Source organism: Homo sapiens, chromosome 8, assembly GCF_000001405.40.
Source record: "Homo sapiens chromosome 8, GRCh38.p14 Primary Assembly".
In the NCBI taxonomy this organism is placed as follows: domain Eukaryota; kingdom Metazoa; phylum Chordata; class Mammalia; order Primates; family Hominidae; genus Homo; species Homo sapiens.
The window spans coordinates 126,613,653-126,632,163 of NC_000008.11; the positions used below are offsets into that span (position 1 = coordinate 126,613,653).

Below are 18,511 nucleotides of genomic sequence, written 5' to 3' on the forward strand. Positions count from 1 at the left end.
CCCAATTCCCACATTTCATGGGAGGGACCGGATACGAGGTAATTGAATCATGGGGGCAGGTCTTTTTCATGCTGTTCTTGTGATAGCGAATAAGTCTTACGAAATCTGATGGTTTTAAAAAGGGGCATTTCCCTGCACAAGCTTTCTCTTTCTTTGCCTGCTGTTATCCACGTAAGATGTGACTTGCTCCTCTTTGCCTTCTGCCATGGTTGTGAGGCCTCCCCAGCCATGCGGAACTGTATGTCCAATAAGCCTCTTTCTTTTGTAAATTGCCCAGGCTGGGTTCTGTCTTTATCAGCAGAATGAAAATGGACTAATACTAGGCACAACTCATAGTGAATGGATATAGACTAGGAAAACAAAACTTAAGCTTAACCAATTAGAAACTGCCAACTAAATTCTAACTAGGAACTTTCACATTAACCGATTAATATTTTCTTTGCCTCACTTCCATGCACACCATATGAAAGAGTCCTCTCACACCCTGAACTGTTCTTGGTGCTGCCTGATGCATGTATTCCTGTCTGCTTAATAAATTCTACTTTAAGACTATGCAAACATCCTGTTTCTCGTCATACATTTGCCCATTAATTTCATCATGCATCAATGATTTTTCTCTGCAACAATCATTGCTGAAAAATTTTAATGCACCTAAGGTTATTTTCTAACAAGGCCAACCAAAACTTTAGTCTCAGAATATGGATGACCTTCAGCCAGCTCATTTTCTCACTGCAGATTGCTTTACTCCTTCCTGATCACCCTTACAATTTATTATCTATCCTTAGATTGTGGTCTTTTGATTATGTTTTTGTTCTAGAGCCATAATTTATTCATGTCTTCCTCTTCTTCCATTCATGAAAATAATTATCCTTGGTAAATCAGCTTCTCTCTTTCTCCCACTCTCTAATGAGAGTCTGTTTTCACTTCTCAGCTCATGGATTTTCTGGGATACAGAATCGTAAGAATGATTTGAGAGACAGGAATGAAGCAATGAGCACAAAGGGAAGGGATTCTTGTGTACTGAGTCAGTTTCTAGGCTGTCCTTTGACAAGAAAATTAAGAAGAAAAGAAAAAAGTGTCAGAAATGCTGTCAACATAAATAATAAAGAGCTAACATTTGAGTAGCAAGTAAAAAAAAAATGGCTGATTAACTTAATACCTTGTAGACCATTTAGAGAGTGTATGTATGTATGTATGTATGCATGCATGCTGTGGTTTCAATGTGTCCCCTAAAGCTTATGTTTTGGAAACTTGCTTCCCAATGTGGTGGTGTTGGGAGGTGAGGTCTAAAGGGAGGTGTTTGGCTCATGTGTGCACCACCCTCATGAACAGATTAATGTTGTCATTGTGAGAGTGAGTTCCTTATCGTGGGAGTGGGTTCCTTATATAAGAACATGTTTGGCCCCCTTTTGTGTCTCTTTCTCACCCTCTCTTGCCCCTTTGCCATCTTCCATGGGATAACACATTAAGAAGGCCTTTGCCAGATGCCAGCATCTTTTTCTTGGACTTCCCAGCCTCCAGAATTGTGAGAAATAAATTTCTGTTGATTATAAATTACCCAGTCTGTGACATTCTGTTATAGTAGCACAAAATGGACCAAGATAATGTATTTAACTTATTTGGAAATAATTTAAGACTTACAAAAACTTGAAGAATAGTACAAAATTCCCAAATACTCTTTGCCCAGTTTCCCCTAATATTGACATTTTATATGTTACAATTATTGAAATCAGGAAATTAACATTGATGTAATATTATTAATGAATCTACAGACCTTCTTTGCAATTTATCAGTTGTCTCTCTATTGCCCTTTCTCTGGGCCAGGATTCAATCCAGAATTCCACATTTACTTTGTTTTCATATCCCTCGAATCACTTCAGTCTGTGACAGTTGCTCAGACTGCCTTTTTCTCTCTCTGTTTCATGATCTTGACACATTTTTTTTTATTTTTATTTTTTGAGACAGAGTCTCACTCTGTCATGTAGGCTAGAGTGCAGTGGCATGACCTTGGCTCACTGCAGCCTCTGCCTCCTGGGTTCAAGCAATTCTCATGTCTCAGCCTCCTGAGTAGCTGGGATAACAGGCGTGTGCCACCACAATCAGGTAATTTTTTCTATTTTTAGTAGAGATGAGGTTTCACTGTGTTGGGCAGGCTAGTCTGAAACTCCTGACTTCAGGTGACCCACCCGCCTCAGCCTCCCAAAGTGCTGGGATTGCAGGCGTGAGCCACGGCGCCCGGCCTTGACACTGAAATAAACTGTTTCCTTTAGGAATTTATTTAATGTGTACAGACTGGGCCACATGGGCTCCTGAAATATAGACATTTTATCTTCTTTGATTTAGTATCTGTTAAAATATTTTCTTGCTTTGTTCTTCTCTGTGTGTAAGCCAACAGTTTATTAATTGTGACCTTGGGCAAGGCACTTAAACTCACTCAAACATGAACATAAAATAATATAACTTACCTTTAAAAATTATTTTCAATAGTAAATGAGATTGTGTATCTAATGAGCCTGGCAATAAATGAGTGTAGACTGTGTTAAGTTTAATAAATCTTTAGTAAAGTAAAGGATTTTATTTTCCTCAGACATCTTTGCTGAGCACAAATATTTAAATAAAAGTGGCTCTTCTTCATGCTTGCTCTTTCTTTTCTCTTTCTTTCTTTTCTTCTTTCCTTCCTTCCTTCCTTCCTTCCTTCCTTCCTTCCTTCCTTCCTTCCCTCCTTCCCTCCCTCTTTCTTTCTCTTTCTTTCTTTCTTTCTTTCTTTCTTTCTTTCTTTCTTTCTTTCTTTCTTTCTTTCTTTCTTTCTTCCTCTTTCTTCCTTCTTTCCTTCCCTCCTTCCTTCCTTCCTTCCTTCCTTCCTTCCTTCCTTCCTTCCTTCCTTCCTTCTTTTCTTTTCTTTGTATTTGAGACAGGGTCTCACTTTTTCTCCAAGAGTGCAGTTGTGCCATACTGGCTAACTTCAGCCTTGAACTCCTGGGCTGAAGCAATCCTCTCATCGCAGGCTTTCGAGTATCTAGAACCACAGACAAGAACCACCGTACCTGGCTAATTAAAAATAATTTTGTTTTTAGAGACAAGGTCTCATTACATTGCCCAGGCTGGTCTATAACTCCTAGACTCAAGCAATCCTCCCACCTCAGCCTCCAAAGTGCTGAGATTACAGGCATAAGCCACCATGCTTGACCCTGTCTTTTCTTTTCTATGCCTCCTCCATGACCTTAGGTTTGAAGTGCAAAATCTATGTTTTGGTTATCCTTGTTTCATCCAGCACATGGTAGTGCCATAATCCTGTTCTATGGCAGTCTCCTTAGCCAGACCTTAGCAATGCTATGTCAATCACTGAGAACTCACATAGAGCCTGATCCATAGAAAATGATCAATGCACAGTGCTAAGCATATTTTCTGTTGGCCATGGGTCAGTCCAAAAGGAAGTTCCAATTTCCTAAAGGCAGAAGCAGCTTGTACCCTGCAAGGCACCGGGCCTCTTCTCTCGATTTTAGATTTTATTTCTTCCCTTATCTTTGAGGCTGTACTCAAATCCCAAGGCCAGCTAATTGTACTGAGAACTACAGTGCTGTGTTATGTGCTGCCTTAACAGGAGCTCATCAGTGCCTCTTTAACATGAAGTGTTGGAGTTATTTTAGTCTTGCTAGTCTTAGTTTATTTTGAGTAGTCATACCAACACTGATCCATGTGTCTTACACCAGTGGTTCTCATTTTTTTTTTTCCCCAGTGTCTTGCCTTAGACGACGTTTGAGAATTTGTCAGAACAGGGCCTGGAGGGAATAAAAAGGAGGTGAGAAGTCTCTGTAGAGATCATCAACATGGCCCATCTCTCCTTAAAAGTAAGCCAAGTAAACTCACTTATTAGAAGAATGACATCATCAGGACTGTTTCTGAGAAAGCCTACTTCTGCTCCTTACCATATGTAGAAATATAATTTCATATTAAAGACCAAGAATTCAGACATCATCCTGGTGCATACATCAGGATTGCAACGATAAATGCTTTGGAAATGTCATTGGAGGAAGGTAATGTTTGACATAGGAAAGAGAAGACTTGTGGGAACATGGCTGCTGTTTCTAATATTGTGTTATGAAATTGGGAGCAAATGTGTTCTTTGCCTCTAGAAGGTGAAATTAGGGCCCATGAATGGGTGAAAGAAGCAAGAAGATTTGGGCTCAGACCAAGGGGAAGAATAAGTGTCTACCATGCTTAGCCTTAGTGGGTAAGATAGTTCATTTTTATACCACTACATCCCTATATGTTAAAGATTATCATTCTTTTTTTTTTTTTTTACATATAAGGAAAGCAAGACTCAGGGAGTATCCTGCCCTGTTCACAGGGGCAGAGCTGGATTTGAGCCCAGGTCTTAGAAGACAGAGGCCGTGGCCTTTTCCCTATGCCTTTCTGCCTCCTGGACCTGTGGAGCAGAGATGTTCACTCATGCCTGGGCCATTCTGTGCACCAGTGCCCCTCTCTTCAGGGAAGATATTCAATCAGAGTGTGTAGCCCCAGTAATTCTGGCATTGGGTGCAAGGTTGCACAAGATGACTTTTAAGACCCCATCCAAACGTCAGCTCCTATTCTTCCAATTCAAACAGGAGTAAATGAACAGATCGCAGTTTAAGAGCTTCATGGTGTCTTTATATTCTTCCTGCCGCTCTGTGCCAATCAGCATGTCTGTTCTTTCAGGACTGCATGATAACCTTCTTGAAAGACATCTCATATTCCACTCCAACTCCAAAAATTTTAGTAGCTCCCATTTGCCTATGGAATAAACAAAATAATATGGAATGAATGAAGAAACAAACAAACAATAAAGACACATTTTCCTTTTCAAAACTTGTCATATTATTTTGAGCCCATGTTAGCCCCCTTTGTAGAGTCTTTCCTTCTGGGAAACCCGTCTTCTTACATTTCCATGCTCTGTCTTCTGTAACCAGGCTGTTCTCTCTGGCTAAAATGTGCTCCTCCCTGACAGCCCTACTTTAATACTTTCCCTCTTCTAAGGGTCACCTCTAGTGTCACCACTTCTGGGAAGCTTTTCCCCGGTGCTCAGCCAGAATTGGTCTCTGCCATTTGAAACTAAGGCATGAATATCTTGCATCTCCTGTAGAGCATGGACCCCAGTCTGAGTGGTTTTAAGATTGTGTGTGCCCTTGTCCTGTCTCCTCACTAAATTGTGGGCTTCCTAAGGGCAGGGCCCGGTTCAGAGTCATTCCTGCCTCTCCCCCTACAAGCCCTCAGTGTTCCAGCGTGGGGGTCCAACATGCATCATGTAATCAAAGCTGAATGGGATGTGTTGAGCTGATAGCAGAACTGAGTCATCAGGTTGACTCTCAGAGCAAACCTTTGTAATATGTTGTAGTGTCTGGGGTTACCATGGTTTATTAGAGAGAAAGAAGAGGAACATATTTTACCTGTTAATTCTTGCTCCAATGTTTTTAGACTTCTTATGAAGTATAAAAAGAAGAAAAATGTGAGAGCTTTGTTGACAGTGAAAAAGCAGAAATCTATTATCTTCACCAAGTTTGTGCTCAGTCTTCTCAGAAGGAATTTAATTTGTCTTTTATTTTTTAACATCCCTGTAATTATTTCCTTTTAGAGAATTTCCATTTTGAAAAGAAAATTCAGTCTCAGAGAGGTTAATTAATTTGCCCAAGTAAATGGCAGAACTGTCTAGACCCAAAGATTTTGCTTTTCCTCATATTCCGCTCGACCTTCTGACCCCTGCAAACTGTGATGATGTGTTGAGGGCATCATCAGTGGCTTTGGGAGGTACTTGAGCCAACGCCTACTCCTGCATGTCTTGCATAGCATTTTGCAAATACACAAAATAATAATGCAACTAGTACTAAAAGTTAGCAGATTTGACTTTTTCTGATATTTGTCTCAGATGATGAGAGAATGAGCGCTAAAGAGCCATTTGATGTCTTTAATTTATCACTGTTTAATCAATTATTAGTATATTTTTACAAAAAAATAAGAGGTAAGAAGCAGTGTCTCATCAGTCTGTAGAAAACTAAAGAAAAAAATCAGCTAAAGATATGTATGTATACAACATTTGCTTTATTTATATACACCAAGCTATGCAATTTTTTTAAAGGTAAAAATAGTAGGAAATCATGCCATAATCTAAGATTCTCTTTTTAGCATGAGCCTGTTTGGTCTAGGAAATCAAATGAGTGATCTGCAGAGAGCTGTCCCAATTTCTGGAGTATTATTTATCAGTGAAAGAAAGGACATTGGGCTGGTAGTTAGGTCCCTAAGCCTGACTCTACCACCATTCTGATGAGTGAGAAATTTCATCTCTTCAGTTCTCAGTTGTTTTCCACTTACAAAAGGATTACATTGAATTAGAACAGAGGTTCTCATCCTCGGCAGTGTTGATATTTTGGGCTGGATAATTCTTTGCTGTGGGGGGTTGTTCTGTGCCCGGTAGGATGTTTAGCAGTATCCCTGTCCTCTACCCACCGGATACCTCTAGCAACCCTATCCACAGTTGTGACAATCAAAAATGTTTCCAGATTGCCAGATGTTCCCTGGAGGGCATGGTTACCCCTGGTTGAGAAGGGGCTGGAAGCTGATTTTATATCCAGTAAATATTTTTTGAGAACATCACATTGGGAAGGCTCTGGGCTGTGTGTCAGGGACACAGAGGTGAAAAGAGTCAATGCTCTTCTTCATGAAGCTTCCAATCTAGTGGAGAAAGGATGTCATCAGCCTGTTTTGAGACACTAAGACAGGTGTTGTAATCAGGCAAGTGTTGGAGCCAGGCATCTTCTGGGCCGTTATTCTGGGGATACATAAGCCCCTGATAAATCAGTCTCTTCTTAAAAAATGATGTCTTTTATTTGGCTATTGGCTCTTAAGATGAATGGGGGAAATGAACACTCATTTGGGGAAGGAGAGCTATTGCAACACAGCCTCACAAATAGATGGGAAAATGATGAGTAAATATAAAATGGGCACTGGAGCACAATGATTCTTAGCACTTAATTCCCATTTTCTCTGGGGTAATAATTTGGGTGTGTTTTCCCCTCTTGGATGCCTTCTCACAAGAGGTAAGACCCGATGCCTGGTGTAACCTTTCTTAACCCTTAATTTTCGCATTCCTCTGGGATATTTATATTGTAATGGGACTATCGGGACATTCTAAACACAGTTTTCTTTGAGAGTGAAACCGCCTTTGCAAAGATTATGACAGCAAGAGAGGTCTAGAAGGGCTGGCTGCATCTTGCTTCTAGCCTCACAGGTTGGCTGTCCATGCTCATTCCTGGGCATAGACCAAGCTAACCATACGAAGAGTTTAGTTTATGGTTTAACTTTGAAGCAAAAATGATAATAGTCCCTCTCTGAAACTGACCCTCTCCTTGTTCGGGAACTGAAACCGCCTTTGTAAGACTAATGAAAAGCCACGAGGTTAGGATTATAGGAGGGACCGGAATTCTCCTAAAATGTAGGCATAGCTTGCTTTGCTATTATGGGTTACTGTGCTGAAGGTCACAAGCTTTGTAACTTCCCCAGTTGCTCCTGTGGATAACATTGCCATTGCAGAACCTTCGATTGCTTTTGAGATTTTTTTCAGACTATTGCATTCTGGGGACTGACTAACCCATCTGGACCTGTGACTTATGACTCAACTGGTCCTACACCCCCTGCTGAGAGACTGATTCAGCACACAAATACCATCTTCCATATCACTATGATTTCATTCCCAATCAATCAGCAGCACCCCTTCCCTAGCCTACTGCCCGTCAAATTATCCATAAGAACCCTAGCCTCTGAGTTCTCAGGGAGGATGATTTGAACAATAAACTCTGTTTTCTGTTTGACTAGCCCTGGATTAATTAAACTTTTTTTAAATTACAAAAAAACTGCTGTTCTCAGTGCATTGACTTTTTTGGGCAGCAGACAAGACAAACCCACTGGGTGATTACAAAAGGGAGAAGAAAAAGTCATATTTAGAAGATGGTTCTTTTGCTAAAAGGAATGCATTGGTAGAATATAAAATTGATAGGCATCAAACACACAGAGGTTAAGATCCAGGCTTAGGGGTAGAGTATTTGTGTTCAGAGTCCTGGCTCACTCACTTACTAGCTGCGCAATCTCGGGTAGGTTACTTGTGCTCTCTGCAGTTTGGTTTGTTCCGTAGTAAAATGGAGATAAAGTATTCACCTCCCAAGATTGTTGTGAGGATTAAAGGAGTTTGTGCTGAACCTGGCACATGGAAATCACTTATAAGGTTTTTTTGAGATGGAGTTTCACTCTGTCACCCAGGCTGGAGTGCAGTGGCACAGTCTTGGCTCACTGCAACCTCTGCCTCCTGGGTTCAAGCAATTCTCCCTGCCTCAGCCTCCTGAGTAGCTGGGATTACAGGTGCCCGCCACCGCATCCGGCTAATTAAGATTTTTGAAATAAATTCTGACAAGTCTGGGAAACACTGGGTGACCTCGATAAGGAACTGGCTGTTAGTTCATGAGCAGATTTTTTTGCAAAACACTGTGTTTCGAGGACCAAGTTACACTCTTCTTAGCCCCTTCTTACTCTTCAGACTTAAGCACAGGCTTAGTACTGGCTCATGTTATTTATAAAATGGGGAAAATTAAACATTACCTATCCTAGGGCAGGTGTTTGAAACAGAAGATTTCTGGAAAATCCATCCCAGCTCTAAAACCTCTGATTCTGAATTGCGCTGGATTCTTACAAATTCTCTTTAGCTTCTTTGGCTCTGTAAAATATAAAACATTGATCTTATCCTCACTATATTAGGATTTAGGAGAGATGCTCTAGCTTATTGGGAGAAGAAATACTTTTTAAGTCAGGAATAAAAATGTACCTAGATTGACTAGTTAAAAAGTATTGGACTTACTTTTCTTTCTCTTTTCAGATTTGTTCTCTTGTTATGCCTTTCTCCTTATTTTCTCCCTTCCCTAATTCCTCAAATCCCAGTAAATGTCCTTTAGAATATAGACTTTGTTTATGTTTCTCTGCCAGAAGCGAAACATTCAGTTCTCACTGCACATCAACCCTGCAATGTGTATGGTGAGGGAGTCATCAGAAGTGCAAAATAATGATCTTTTAAAGTTGGACATCTCCCTGCCCATCATCCTTTCCCTTATCACCCTTTACCTTGACTAGTACAGACAGCCCATCTCTGTTGATTGTTGGCTGATGGCTTCTAAAGGGAAAGCCAGAGTTATCTTCAGCTTCCTGATCTGCCTTTGCCTTGCCCATAGGCATCTTATGATTGCTTAATCCTCTTAGAACCCAGTTTAGGGAACTCAGAACTCCCATGGTCAAACTAAGCAATAAATATTCACTAATTGACTGTTCCTGAAAAAGCATTTACCCAGAGGACAGGAGACCAACACCCTTGCACAACAACATCAAGACCCATTTCCCTGTGTTATTGGGGCACCAGGCTCTGCACCAGGTGCTGGGGATGAGAGTGAGAAAGTCAGTCAAGGTTTCTGTCACCATAACCCTTATAGTCTCTTGGGGACTTATTAAGTAATTATACAAATGCTTATCAAATTGCAATGGTATTAGGTGCTATCAGAGAAAAGTTGCACAGATAAATATTTAATGAAATTGATGTGGGATGTTAAGGAAGATTACAGGATGATTAGTCTGACTCCTTTAGTTGTACTTACCCAAAGGCCTCACTCACACCCACAATACAAAGTTGCAACCTTGTTTCCTGTTTCTGGAATCTTTGCAAAGGGGATTTAGATCACAGAGTCTAGATAAAACGGGGCTTGGGATTCTAACAAACAAACAACCTGGAGACCAGTGGGAAAGAATCTTCTTCCTTTAAGCCGATGCTTCTGAGTGATTGGTTTAGCTTCTGGGGATTAGAGAAGCTCAGAGGATGGACAGTGATTGACATCTCTAGACTCATCAGATTCACACATGGCCCCAGGGAAAATCTTTGGAAGTTTGTGTAGGGAGAATAGTAAAAAGAAGGCTGTTGACTGAAGAGCTAACATCTAGCTTGAATGGATAGCTTCCCATACCTGGCTTGCAGCTTTCAAGATGGACATCTGAGAAAGGCTAAGGAAGGAAGGTGCACCTTTCCAGGTAGCCCAACCAGGCAACCGATCTGGACGGTGGCAGATGTTGCAGTCTCTCTTTCGGCTGACCCATTGAACATCAGTAATGGAAAGGTCCTAGAGCTGACTCAAGTTAGTGATTCTCATACTGGGAACCAGAATCACCTGGAAGCCAGCAACAATAGAGAAACCCAGGGCATAGATTTATTTATTTTTATTTTTTATTATTAGTTTTTTGAGACAGAGTCTTGCTTTATTGCCCAGGCTGGGGTGCAGTGACGTGATCTCGGCTCACTGCAACCTCCGCCTCCTGGGCTGGAACTATTCTCCTTCATCAGCCTCCCGAGTAGCTGGGACTACAGGTGCTCACCACCACACCTGGCTAATTTTTGTATTTTTAGTAGAGACGGGGTTTTGCCATGTTGGTCAGGGGGTTGCGAACTCCTGACTTCAAGTGATCCGCCCGCCTCGGCCTCCCAAAGTGCTGGGATTACAGGTATGAGCCACTGCGCCTGGCTCAGGGCATAGATTTATAAAGACAGAATGAGGACAGTCTCAAGGGACAGAGATGGGGATGGTGAATCTGTATATTTTTAAACATCTAGGCTAAACCCCATGCAAAGGAGTCCATGGGCAAGCCTGAGCCAGTCAAGCCTTTTGTAGTGGATGCCATCATTCTGTTCATTATTTTAAATATAGTAGTCATTTCTGGAATCCTCCTTAGAAAATCATGATTTCAATATTTTAATTTATGTAAATTTATGCTCCCTGGAACCAGGTCAGAATACTTTTAAGATTGTGCCTCTTTGGGAAATCAAATGTCTGTTCTTAATCTTAGAATGAATATTTAGTTAAGGTGCTCATTCCTGTGAGGAGTGTGTGGGTATCAGTGAGCCATCAGTCAACAATCAACAGAGATGGGCTGTCTGTGTATGTGTGTATGTGTATAAGCATGCTCACATGGTGTTTTCAGTAGGTGTTTCCAGAGTGTTAACGGTTGAGACATAGTAGTCTCGGATGTCATTTGATATGACCCAGTATGAAGGCCCAATCTCTCATTTCTATTTTGATCACACACATGTGACACAGAGCACCATATAGATGAGATGCTTTGTTAAGTGTTTAAGGCTATTATTATTTACCTAAAAAGGACACTATTTGCCACCATGACTTTTGTGGGGCTATTTTAAAAGACATTAGTTCATTTCATCTACAAGTAGTTACATGCCAGAACTGTACTAAGTTGATTCAGAGATAACAAGGGCCTCATAAGTGACCACAGAGTCTTTGGGTTTAGTTAGGCAAACATCTAGGTTAAGAGACTGTGGCTCCAATGTCATGTGATAAGGGATTTGTATTCAATTCTCTAACCCCCGCAAAGTGCCTGACACTCACAAGGTGTTCATTAAATGTGAAGGATTCTCCTGGAGTAGGGTGGACCAGCACCAAAAGACTTAAAATCTCTTCCCTGTCCCTATTTCCCATGGGCACCTTGACTACTAATCTAGTTTCTATTGCTTCTGCAGGGTGGGGCTGGGAGCTTCTGATTCAGCCGTGTGTGCTGTTTCCATAGTTATATGATCAGAGTGACTAATTCATCGAAGATAAGTTTCTAAAGCCTAATGGAGTAATATCTCTGCACTGATACACTCTTTCTTCCTTTAAAATTGGTGTGTGTTTTCTATGTCTTTTTATAAAACACCCAAAATAATCCAGAAGGTCTTTAAGCGTCATTCAATTCATTACCATTTATTACTATTCTGTGCAAAAAGAATATGCTAAGCGTTTTACATACATAATTTTAATTTTACAACATTCATAGAAGGTCTTTATTGTCTCCATTTTACAAAGGGAGAAATAGAAGCATAGATAGCTGAATCATTAATTTGCCAATTATTAACTTGCTAAGTACGTAATCAGAAAATAATGGAGTTAGGATTGAAATCCATGTTTGTCTAATTTCCAGGTTCACAAAAAATTTCTGTTTCACTGTCTTTATATATATATAGAGAGAGAATATATATATTATATATAGAGAGAGAATATATATATTATATATATAGAGAGAATATATATATTATATATATAGAGAGAATATATATATTATATATATATTAGAGAATATCTGATTTTGAATCTGTAAGATATAGCCTCTCTATAAAGATTTTGATTTGTCTTCAAACACACAAGGATTTGCTGAGCATGTGTTTGACCATGTAGCAAACACTAGAGATACAATAGTGAGAATACAGATACAGTCTAATAAAACAGAGAATTGTAAAAATCAAATTAAGTAATCGTAATTCAGCGATTGCTGTGAAAGGTAAGTCCTCACTTCTCAGCCCTGGAAGACCCTGATGAGCAATACAAGCTGTTAAAATGTACAGTCCAATGGCTTGTACAGAGTTGTGCAACCATCACCATAATAAATTCTAGAATCTTTTCATCAACTCACAAAGAAATCCTGTACCCTTTAGCTGTGACTCCCAAACCCCCATTCTTCAGTTTTTGAGGCAAAGTTTGTGATAATTTTCAAAAAACATTTCTATTTCTGTGCTTCCCTAGAGCTTTGGAAATAACTGCATTATAACACGTATCACATTGCAGGGCTATTATTTGTTCCATTTTCTGTCTCTCATATGAATCTGTGACTTCCTTGAGGAGAAAATATTGTGCGTTATGGAATTTTATACTCTCAGCCCAATGACTGGTACATCTCGGGCTTCAAATAAGGATAGAAGGGAGGAAAGGAGGAAGGGAAGGAGGGAGGGAGGGAGGAAGGAAGGAAGGGAGGGAGGGAGGGAGGAGAGAAGGAAGGGAGGGAGGGAATTTCATAAACAAATATTTAGATTATAGAATATGGTCCAGAGAAAATATCTCCATGGGCTACTTTGGCAAATCTTCATCAGGGAAGAATAGCATTTTTTTAAGGAAAAGAAAAATCTTGAGTTTTGAACAGAAATCTTTCTCTGAATTAGCACCATCCTGGAAATTCTCAGATGTTTTCTTCACAATCTCCACAGGATTCTCCACCTAGATCACCTTGTATTAGTTCAGATCTATATCTGGCTACAATCACAGAAAGACTTAAAAGCAACTCATACAAGCTAAAACTTTATTATTCTCTGACATAAAGATTGCCTCAGAGATGGCTGAGAACTGATAGGGAGGCCTTGCTCTACAATATTGTCTAAGAAACTTATCTTGGGCTTCATTATTCTCCAGGATTCCATCTTCAATTGTGCTGTCTAGTATAACTTCCCAGTATTTCTCCATTCTAGCCAACTCAAGGGCAGGGGCTACAGCCTTAAGGAAAAAACCTGGAAGTTACACACATCATTTCTGTATGCACCCCATTGGCATATTGAATCATATGGCCATACCTGGTTGTACAGGGGCTGTGCAACAGACTCTTTATTCTGGCTGACCTTTCATCCAGCTGTAAGTTAAGTGTTAGTTTCTCTTTCTAAAGGAAGAGGGGAAGAATGGATTTTAAGAGACAGCTAGCAATGTGTTTCATACTGCTATTATAAGTACCAATAGGCAATGTAAAACAGTTATTCTTAATTTTTCTTGTTTTATGTATTAACAGACCTTGACCCCAAAAAGTTATTGTGAGTTTTAAATATATTTTTGCCATATTCTCCATGTTTAGATATGTTTTATGGCATTTAAAAGAAAATGGCACCTTCATAGCATCATTTTCTACTTTCATAATGGCAAGTGTGTTTCAGCTAAATTACGGAATCAGTAGGTTTTGGTAAGCCAGCCTGGAAAACTTACAATCACTTACAGTATTGTTTCTATGGGAAAATGGCTTCGACTTCTTAAGACAATCTGACAAAGAAGTGTGCTTTTGGAATTAAACCCATTTGAAAGTTGGGAACTGCTAAATGCACTAAGGTTTGCACACATGAAATAGCAGATGAGATTTACTGGAATGTTTTCTCAGTAACGCCTTACGCAATGCTCCAGAAGCTTCTGTGCTCAGCCAAAACAAGTCCAGCAAGAGTCCCTTCCTTTCTCCATATGTTCCTCAGGCACACAACGGTTGGAGTATCTTTTTCACTTCAAACATTTAGCTTTTCATTGGAAAGTTGTTTAGTCGGGAAGTTGTAGCTAGAGTAGCTGGGTGAGGATATATTAAGATGTTTGGATTATGAGCTAGATCAAGGCTTTCTTACTCTGGGAATTAGCTAGAAATAAAATTGGGGTCTTTTGAAATAACACTAAGCATTTATGTATAGTAACATTAAATAGCTGTTTATAGGATGGTTTGATTCCAAAGTTCTGGATAAGTTTATTAAAGGATTTTTATAATGCTTTTAAATGTTTTTTTTTTCTTTCCCTACTGCCCTAAGCACATGCTTAGCCTGAGAATTGGAGAGTTTAACATTGCTTGTATAACTTAACTCCCAGTTCAGTCTCAACCAGACCAAAACATTCTCTTTCATGCACTTAGCCTGTTAATGAAGTACTTGAATGACGTACTAGGCATCAGAAAATAGATGTTGAGTGAGACGGTCTCAAACCACGCTCTCAAGGAAGATTACCCTCTATAGAAGAAGACATACATGGAACAAGCAGTTATAACAAGATGTGAGAAGGGTCGAATTTGGGGGCGTGCAGTGTGTTGTGGGAACAGATTTCAGGGACAGGGATGGATGCCCCAGTGTAAAAGTCATGAAAAGCCTCCCTAAGGGAGAATGAGGAGGTGTGAGACACAGGCAGAGGCAGGGAGAAGATTACGACATGTCTCACTCAGGTGATTATTACATCACTGGGGAAGCGGGGTACCAGAAGAAGAAAAGAGATTTACCCTGACACCCATGACTTCTCTGTGAGAAAACAGCTAGCATAGAATTTGACACATAAATGTCAAAAATAAATAAATCCACGATTGGTGGAATTTCAGGCAATCTTGCTGATAGCAAGGAAAAGTTTTCTGCCTATCCTAAGGAGTAATGACCTAACATATAACCTTCTTCCAGATAAGACTAATGCTTCTAAAATTGCTTAGCGACAGCTACACTGGTCAGCGGTTGAGGGATTTATTTTAAGAAAAAAAGCACTGGTAAAGAGATTGGAATGTAGTGAAGATATGAGATCATAAAATCAGTGTCTGAACCAACAGAGCTCCAGAGGTAGTTGTGGTCATATCTTCCATTTTAAACGTAGGAGGTCAAGTTTCTGAATGTGCGCACTCGTGTGTGTGTGTGTGTGTGTGTGTGTGTGTGTATGTGTGTGTGTGTGAAATGAGTTTACAAACTTCAGAGTGGAGAGCTCTGGAAAGAGTCTTCTACTAACCAAGGAGGTCTTTTCACAACTGAGAAATAAAACAAAAATGATGAGTTAAAAGTTTTGGCCAGAGAGAAGTGTGTTGGAATGTGAACTGAAGAATGCTGCTGGATTAAATCCAAGGAGGAAATCAGAAATGGATCTCTTCTCTTGGAAGGCAGTAAAAGAGTCAGAGCACTGGAGAAACTACCTTGAAACAGTATACAAAAAGTTGAGATTTCTATTATTCGTGTATATATATATATATATAAAATCATTAATGGATTCATTTCTTCAAAGATACATCTTGAGCAACTAATATGTGTTTAGCATTGGGAACACAGTGTTTAACAAGACAGGATTTGTACTGTCGTGAAAACATTTAGACTAGTGGGAAGTGACAGACTATTGAAAAAACCTAGTAAATTCTAGGACGGAGAAAACAAAAAGGCCCTTGAGAAATAGGGACAAGGAATAGTTAACCGCAATATGGTGATGTGTATGTGAGGGGTTTCTAATGAAGGCTTCCTGGAGGAAGTTATATATACTAAAATATCTGGAAAATACATAGGTCATAATCAGGTGAAGGCAAGTAGGAACAGAGAAGGGGGTAATGAGAGTTCCAGGGGTAACAAACAGCATGGGTTGTAAGAGCTCAGAGAAGTGAGAGCACGCTGGGGTTGGAGGAAACCCTGTGAGAACAGCAGGCCACATATGGTCAGTTGGTGTAGATACAGTGCTAAGTTTACATTCTACAGAGAAATGAGACAGGATTTCTGTTTTATCCTAACAAACCACCCCATCCCCACCCCCCCACTCCAGGACTTTAGAGTAAAGCTGTTCAATAGCTATTCTGAAATCATTAGTGCTAATTTTCAAATATTCTACTTTCTGCTTTCAAGGATCAGGAGTGAAATTGCTGGTCCATTTGTAATTAGGTGGGGGCCATATAACTATGTTCTGCCAATGAGTTGTGGATGGCAATGAGTTGTGAATGAAAGGGTTGTGTCTCACTTCTGGGTCAGAGTTTCTACTTGACAGTGTAAGTCCCTCTAGACCTTTACCTCCTCCATGAACAACCTAGCAATATTTCAAATAGTGTCTGCGCCATCATCCTGGGGCCCAGCATGAAACAGAGGCCCCAAATGGCACATGATTGACACAGTGTTGACACACAGAAATACCATTTTTTAAAGGCTTTTTTGAGATGTAGGTATTGTTTGTTACTGCAGCATAACCTAGCCCCCTGTTTCAGACACAAAATAGGTAACAGGGCCAGGCACGGTGGCTCACATCTGTAATCTCAGTGCTTTGGGAGGCCGAGGTAAGAGAATTACATGAGGCCAAGCGTTGAAGACCAGCGTGGACAACCTAACGAAATCTGTCTCTATAAACGATTTAAAAAAAAAGAGGAAACATAATGTCAAATTAATTTAATTAATAATTATTTTAAAATTTCCCACTTTGTTAGGCACTATAGATTTAAAAGCTGGAAAGAGCTACCGGCCAAGAGCTTAGAGATCATGGAGGAGACAGACTCGTGATCAGGTCAACCGAAGTTCAGTGAACAGTAAAAGTACAAAGCTTTGTGGGAGCACATAGGAGCGCCAGGCACTCCCACCCAGAGGGGTGTAGAGGGTGGAGGAGGCTGAAACTGACTCGGAAAAGATGCAAAGGAGAAAGCCAGGTTGGAAAGACAGGAAATGATATTTCAGGCAATGAAAAGAGTGGGAGTAATAATATAGAGAGATGAAGCCTTGCCTTGAAGAATGACAGCAAGTATTCTCCTTGTGAAGACTATGAAGCCTGCCATTTTCTGGGCCAAGACTGAGAAGAGGTGTGTATTTGGGACTACAGAACATAAGATGTAAACTTTAAAGTCCGTGGTTCCAGTGGATTTTCTGTAAAAGCCAAGTTAGAGCTCAAGAAAGAAAAGAGACAGAAATAACCAATAACCAAGCAGAGCTGATAGGAGGAACAATCTATGATTCCTTCAGAATCCTGCCTAGTGAGGCTCCAATGGAGTAACAGGCTTCCTGTTCAGACTCTGACATCTAAAGGGCTGTCTTTGTCTCTAGAAACAATAACAGAGAGAAGGAAGCAGGGAACAAAGCCATGCCCGTGTGACATCACTGTGCATGATCCTAGAAACTGGAAACCTCTTAAAGCCAAAGAGTATGCACGGATATCTATTCAGTGGTTCTTTAACAAGAAGAGAAACCTGGCAGAACAGGAGTTTCAACTCACCACGTGGCTTTTCAGGTGGAGGGTCTGTTTGCGATTATTTGAGTGTGGAACAAAGGGTGCACAGAGAAGTCACCCCAGTTTTCCTGAAACTGTGCCTCCTTACCTCATTATTGACTGGTAGCCTTGCACTCAAATGCTGATTCTTCTTAGTTAAATATATGACAGTTTAAAAAAAATGACTTCACTTTCTATTCTAATGAGATGTTAGCAATTCTGTTTTTTCTGCTAATTACTGCATATCTTCCTTCTGAAGACTCTCTTTCTATATATATATATGTAATTATATATGTATTTATATACACACATGGATATATGTGTGAATATTTGTGTGTGTATACACACATGCATATACACACACAGATATATGTGTGTGTATATATATATGTATGTGTGTATATATATATATATATAATGAAACTGTAATAACTGCCTCTTGGGATAATCCAGAGAATCCATCATTGATAAAAATACACTTGCCTTGGGTTGGTGATTTTCTGAGATTTCAATTTCAATAGCTTCTTCCATATTAGGCCTCTTTCACTTCAGAGGAAATAATTATATCCAGGTTTGGCTCTGTTCAATGGGGCATGACTACACCAGAATGAGTCTCTTCCTGAATGGAAAAAGAAAATTGAAAAGAAAAAGACAAGGTCTGACACACCAGACCCCAAATTATTTAAATCCATTTTCAACGAAAAGCTTGGTAGCTTGGTAAAGACGATGACCTTCGAAGGAAAATTCCATTGAGAAATCCCATTTCCCATGTTGTAAGTTTAGAAGAATAAATTGCACTCGGGGAGGAGGGTGGGGGGGAAGTTCCTTTCGACATTTAATAAAGCAGGTGGCCTCATTTGAATTTTCCCATTAGGTCTCCTGGAGCGATCTCAGAAATATGTTGGCCTTGCAAACTGTAACTCAGCCTTGGC

The 18,511-nt window shown here is 40.0% G+C and overlaps 1 long non-coding RNA gene across 6 annotated transcripts in view; it reads left to right on the forward strand.

Annotated features, from left to right (window-relative positions):
* Positions 1-18,511, forward strand: part of LOC105375751 (uncharacterized) — a 463,156-nt gene that overhangs the window by 55,777 nt on the left and 388,868 nt on the right. The window contains exon 3 of one of the 6 annotated variants that reach the window (NR_188074.1): positions 3,737-4,848. The exons of the other annotated variants lie outside the window; for them this stretch is intronic. This is a non-coding gene — a long non-coding RNA (uncharacterized LOC105375751). Of the gene's footprint in view, positions 1-3,736; positions 4,849-18,511 lie in introns of those variants that run through there. 6 annotated transcript variants of the gene reach the window in all.